This window comes from Homo sapiens, chromosome 19 (genome assembly GCF_000001405.40).
Source record: "Homo sapiens chromosome 19, GRCh38.p14 Primary Assembly".
In the NCBI taxonomy this organism is placed as follows: Eukaryota; Metazoa; Chordata; class Mammalia; order Primates; family Hominidae; genus Homo; species Homo sapiens.
The window spans coordinates 12,114,910-12,120,930 of record NC_000019.10 but is presented as its reverse complement, the minus strand read 5'-3'; positions in this window follow the sequence as shown (position 1 = coordinate 12,120,930).

Here is a 6,021-nt window from a genome sequence, read left to right as displayed (position 1 = left end):
GAGGCTGAGGCAGGAGAATGGCGTGAACCCAGAAGGCGGAGCTTGCAGTGAGCCGAGATCCCGCCACTGCACTCCAGCCTGGGTGACAGAGGAGACTCCGTATCAAAAAAAAAAAAAAAAAAAAAGAAAAAAAAAAAGAAATTAGTGGCCAGGTGGCCAGGTGCGGTACCTCACCCATGTAATCCCAACACTTTGGGAGGCCAAGGCGGGCGGATCAAGACCATCCTGGCTAACACGATGAAACCCCCGTCTCTACTAAAAATACAAAAAAAAAAATTAGCCAGGAGTGGTGGTGGGTGCCAGTAGTCCCAGCTACTCGGGAGGCTGAGGCAGGAGAATGGCGTGAATCCAGGAGGTGGAGCTTGCAGTGAGCCGAGATCGTGCCACTGCACTCCAGCCTGGGTGACAGAGCGAGACTCCGTCTCAAAAAAAAAAAAAAAAAAAAAAAAAAAGAAATTAGTGGCCAGGCATGGTGTATCATGCCTGTAATCTAACTATTTTGGAAAGACAAGGCAAGAGGATTGCTTCAGACTAGGAATTCCAGAAAACCCTGAGCAAAATAGTGATAACCCCCATCCATAAAGTACTTTTTAAAAAATAAAAAAATAAGGCCGGGTGCAGTGGCTCACGCCTGTAATCCCAGCACTTTGGGAGGCTGAGGCGGGCGGATCATGAGGTCAAGAGATCGAGACCATCCTGGCTAACACGGTGAAACCCTGTCTCTACTAAAAATACAAAAAATTAAAAAATATATATATATATATACACACACACACACACAGAGACACATACACATATATACACACATACAGGTTGTGAAACTATGAAGAAACATAAGGAAATTATAATTTACAATACTGGCTCCATCAGTATTTTGGTTCATTGTGAACTGTTTTATGTATTTGGTGCATATGCAATATTTTCAGTTTCTACAATGCAAACTCTATAAAGAAATAAATCTCAGTGCATGTTGAATTGCCAGCAACAACTCGTTGAATGTAATTTTTTTTTTTTTTTTTTGAGACGGAGTCTTCCTCTGTCTCCCAGGCTGGAGTGCAGTGGCGTGATCTCGGCTCACTGTAACTTCTGCCTCCCGGGCTCAAGTGATTCTCCTGCCTCAGCCTCCCAAGTAGCTGAGATTATAGGCGCACACAGCCACGCCTGGCTAAGTTTTTGTATCTTAGTAGAGATGAGGTTTCACTGTGTTGCCCAGGCTGGTCCTGAACTCCTAAGCTCAGGCAATCCTCCTGCCTTGGCCTCCCAAAGTGCTAGGATTACAGGAGTGAGCCACCGCACCCGGCTGCTAATTTTTATGTTAATATTTTTAGTAAAGACAAGGTTTTGCCATGTTGCCCAGAGTGGTCTTGAACTCCTGGCCTCAAGTGAATTGCCTGCCTTGGCCTCCCAAAGTGCTGGAATTATAGGCATGAGCCACTGCAACCACAATTAACTTTCTTGAAATCCCTAAAATTCTCAGGAAGGATATAAAATAATTATTATGCAAAAAGTATATACTGAAAGACATCAAAGTAAAGGGTAATAAATGGAAAGATGTCATATATCCTTAAATAAAGACTGAATATCACCATAAGGTAACCTGTTTGAAATACATCAGTGGGCCGGGTGCAGTTGCTCACCCCTGTAATCCCAGCACTTTGAGAGGCCGAGGTGGGCAGATCACCTGAGATCAGGAGTTAAAAGACCAGCCTGGCTAACATGGAGAAATCCTGTCTCTACTAAAAAATACCAAAATTAGCTGGGCGTGGTGGTGGATGCCAGCTACGCGGGAGGCTGAGGCAAGAGAATCGCCTGAACCCAGGAGGCAGAGGTTGCAATGAGCTGAGACTGCACCACTGCACTTCAGCCTGAGCAACAGAGCAAGACTCCGTCTCACAAAAAAAAATAAAATAAATAAATAAAATAAGGGTTTTTTCACTGGTGTGTAACATGATTATTCTCTACTTTCCTCTTATGTGAAATGTTCAGAAACAACACAAATATTTTTAAATTGTCATCCATGGACCCTGTGAAAAAATGATAACCATTAAAAACTGCATCGATGTGAGAGAAAGGATGAAGAAATATACTCTACAATAAAGAACAAATCGTTGATAATACTGTGAATTGGAGAAAAAGGGTTAACGTTTGGAGATTTGGGGAAGAAATTGAAAATTTCCTAACATTACTACAAGAGTTAGGCTGGGGTCACAGGGTTGAGGATTTGAGACCCTGTATCCCATAGATGAGGAAAATGCAGGGATAAACCAGTCCCCATAGGCAGTGTGAAGAAATTAAGAGCAGCAATTGGACCAAAGTGTTTGTAGTGCACTAAGGTTCTACCTAAGGAATCGAAACACAACTAAAATGCAATTCTTCTAAATTTTTCGATAACAAACCACAAACCACGACTGGGTGATTCTCATTCATAAATCACCATATGTTCAAACTGTTTAATTTTTAACAGTGCCTCAGTTTAATTTTTTGTTTACCTATATATTGTAAAGGACATTACAAAGGATATAGCTGAACAGCCAGATGAGGATGATAGAGCAAGATGTGGAGTAGGGGGATACAGAGCCTCCCTGCTCTCTCTGGGTGTCCCACCATCCCAGCCTCGCCATGTGTTCAGCAACCCAGAAGCTCCCTTTTTTTTTTTTTTTTTTTTTTTTTGAGACGGAGTCTGGCTGTGTCGCCCAGGCCGGAGTGCAGTGGCGTGATCTCGGTTCACTGCAAGCTCCGCCTCCCGGGTTCACGCCATTCTCCTGCTGCAGCCTCCCGAGTAGCTGGGAGTATAGGCGCACGCCACCACACCCGGCTAGTTTTTTGTATTTTTAGTAGAGACGGGGTTTCACCATGTTAGCCAGGATGGTCTCGATCTTCCGACCTCGTGATCCGCCTGCCTCGGCCTCCCAAAGTGCTGGGATTACAGGCGTGAGCCACCACCCCCGGCCCAGTTTAACAGGAAAAAAACGTACTGGGGGCCCCAGGGACCGCAGCTCCTCCCACACGAACCCTACACCCAAGGCAGGACTCTCCTTATGTCATGTGTGGCCCCCGCACAGACGCGAGGTTGCGGGGGCGGAGCTGCCCACAGAGGGCTCCGGGACCGCAGTCACCAGGCAGGGACGGGACAGGACGCCCAAGGTCCCGGCTGCTGGCACAACCCCACCTTGCGGCCGAGGAGACTGAGGGCCGAGATGTGCCAGAACTCGGGTCCCAAACCCTGAAGTCGCCTGCAGGGGGCCTGGGGTCCCGTCACAGCCGGTTCTGGCCGTTTCCACCCAGCCCCTGCCGGGTTTCGGGTAGCTGGCCCCAAACACTCACCATTTCCAGGCGTCCTGGCTTATCTCTCTAGGGCTCCCGTGACTAGTGCAGGTCACAGTGCAGGCGACAGAGCGACGGCAGTTGTGGTGTAGGGACCTGGTCCCTTTCACAGCGGGAAAGACTGGATCCCAATCTCAGTAGGCAAGGTCACCAAGGTGAGAGCGGGAATGCGTCCCCACCTTCCCAGGACAGACAGTTGGCAGGGCCCCGCCCCAGCACTCCTGATTGGACAGAGGTCCAGGCCCCCATCCCCTCATCCCAGAGTGACAGTAGAAGCCCTGGGTAACTGGACCTGGGGAGCAGAAGTGAGGGGTTCTAGCCACCATCTAAGGGCCAGCTCCCTCCCTACAACTTGGTCATTGGATATTTTCATTTTAGTGAAATTTGCTCCCGAATTTTAGACAGGGCACTATCTTTTTCCTCACTCAAAGAGCTGTTCCTGCTCCTTTCTTCTCCATTGGGGTTACAAGTGTGTACTGGGAATTCCAGACTCAGTGTCCAGCAGGGCAATCTCGTCACCTCAGAGTCAGAGAGGAACCAAGACCAGGTCAGGCATGATTGGACCAGGAGGGAGAGGCAGGTGTCCTTCAGGGGGTGGCAACTGAGGATGAGACATAGCCAAGGCTTTCTCTCATACTCCCCCATCCCCTCCTCACAGTGTGGAAATGCTCCCTCCTTCCAGACCTTCACATTTACCAGCAGGAAACTCTTACCAGGTGACAGTCTAAGCTTCTGAGCTAAATAGTCAACTTCATAAACTGTTTCTGCAGGTGAGGTCCCAAACAATTCTGTCTCCAAACCTGACCTTCACAGATTTTCTTCATATATACAGATTACCGTCTGACCCCAGGGACCCTATGCATGTCAGAACCAAAACACTGTTCCCGAATATGGCCCCAGGCTCCAGAGGTCCAACCACAGAAGGGACAGCGCCCTGCCAAGGACATCTGCACATAGTCTCTTGCTTTCCAGGGCTCTGCGGCTTATCAGAATCCACACTCCTGGAGCTGCTCTGAACAGCTGGAGGCCACATGCAGAATAGGTTGGGCCGCCCAGGAAGCACCCATGGGAGCTCCATTTCCCTCCCTCTGCAGCCTCCATACTGGCCTCAGCCTCTGTTACCCTCTGCAAATTTGCAGTGGTACCTGAAGGGAGGGACCGTGGATGGGTGGGGGGAGAGGCCACTCGAACCATTGGCAGGCCAGGCCTTTCATTTTTTTTCTTTTTTTGAGACGGAGTTTTGCTGTTGTTGCCCAGGCTGGAGTGCAATGGCGCAATCTCGGCTCACTGCAACCTCCGCCTCCCAGGTTCAAACAATTCTCCTGCCTCAGCCTCCCAAGTAGCTGGGATTGCAGGCATGCACCACCACTCCCGGTTATTTTGTATTTTTAGTAGAGATGGGGTTTCTCCATGTTGAGGCTGGTCTCGAACTCCTGACCTCAGGTGATCCGCCTGCCTCGGCCTCCCAAAGTGCTGGGATTACAGGCGTGAGCCACCGCGCCTGGCCTCAGGCCAGGCCTTTCAACAACTACCTGGGAGGCCGAGTGCCATAGCTCAAGCCTGTAACCCCAGCACTACAGGATGCCAAGGTGGGAGGATTGTTAGCAACCCAGAGTTTGAGACCAGAATGAACAACAAGGCAAAACCCTGTAACTACAAAAAATACGAACATTACCTGGGTGTTGTGTCACATGCCTGTAGTCCCAGCCACTTGAGAGACTGAGATAGGAAGATCACCGGAGCCCAGGGAGGTCGAGGCTGCAGTGAGCCATGATCCTGCCACTGCACACCAGCCTGCGTGACAGAGTAAGACTGTCTACAAAAGCTATTAAAAGACAAATTATTAAATAATTTTAAAAGTTAGCTAGCCGAGGTGGCCTGTGCCTGTACTTCCAACTACTGAAGAGGCTGAGGCAGAGCCAGGCACAATGCCTCACAGCTATAATCCCAGCACTTTGGGAAGCCGTGACAGAAAGACTGCTTGAGCACAGGAGTTCAAGACCAGCCTGGGCCACATGGCAAAACCTCATCTCTACCAGTAATACAAAAATTAGCCAAGTGTGGTGGCAAGCACCTGTGGTCCCAGCTACTTCAGAAGGCTGAGGCTGGAGAAGCCCAAGAGTTCAAGGCTACAGTGAGCTATGATTGCACCACTGCTCTCCAACCTGGGTGACAGAGGGAGACTTTCTTTAAAAATGAATACCCATGAGGAGAGTGAAAGCTACGAACAATTCACCAGTGGCAACAGTTCTCCTTCCTATATGTGTATAATACCTGAGTTTACTTATTGGAGTAGTTCTCAAAGAGTTACATTCCACCTTTTGGAGTTAACACAATTTTTGTATATACCTTTTTTGTATTACTTTGACCAGGGTCTGACATATGCCTTGAGTAAATGGTTTAAGAAGCCTATAGAGGCAGGGCACAGTGGCTCACACCTGTAATCCCAGCACTTTGGGAGGCCAAAGTGAGCAGATCACGAGGTCAGGAGATCAAGACCTTCCTGGCCAACATGGTGAAACCTTGTCTCTACTAAAAATATAAAAATTAGCTGGGCGTGGTGGTGCATGCCTGTAATCCCAGCTACTCAGGAGGCTGAGGCAGGAGAATTGCTTGAACCAGGGAGTCGGAGGTTGCAGTGAGCTGAGATTGCGCCACTGCACTCCAGCCTGGCGACAGAGACTCCGTCTCAAAAAG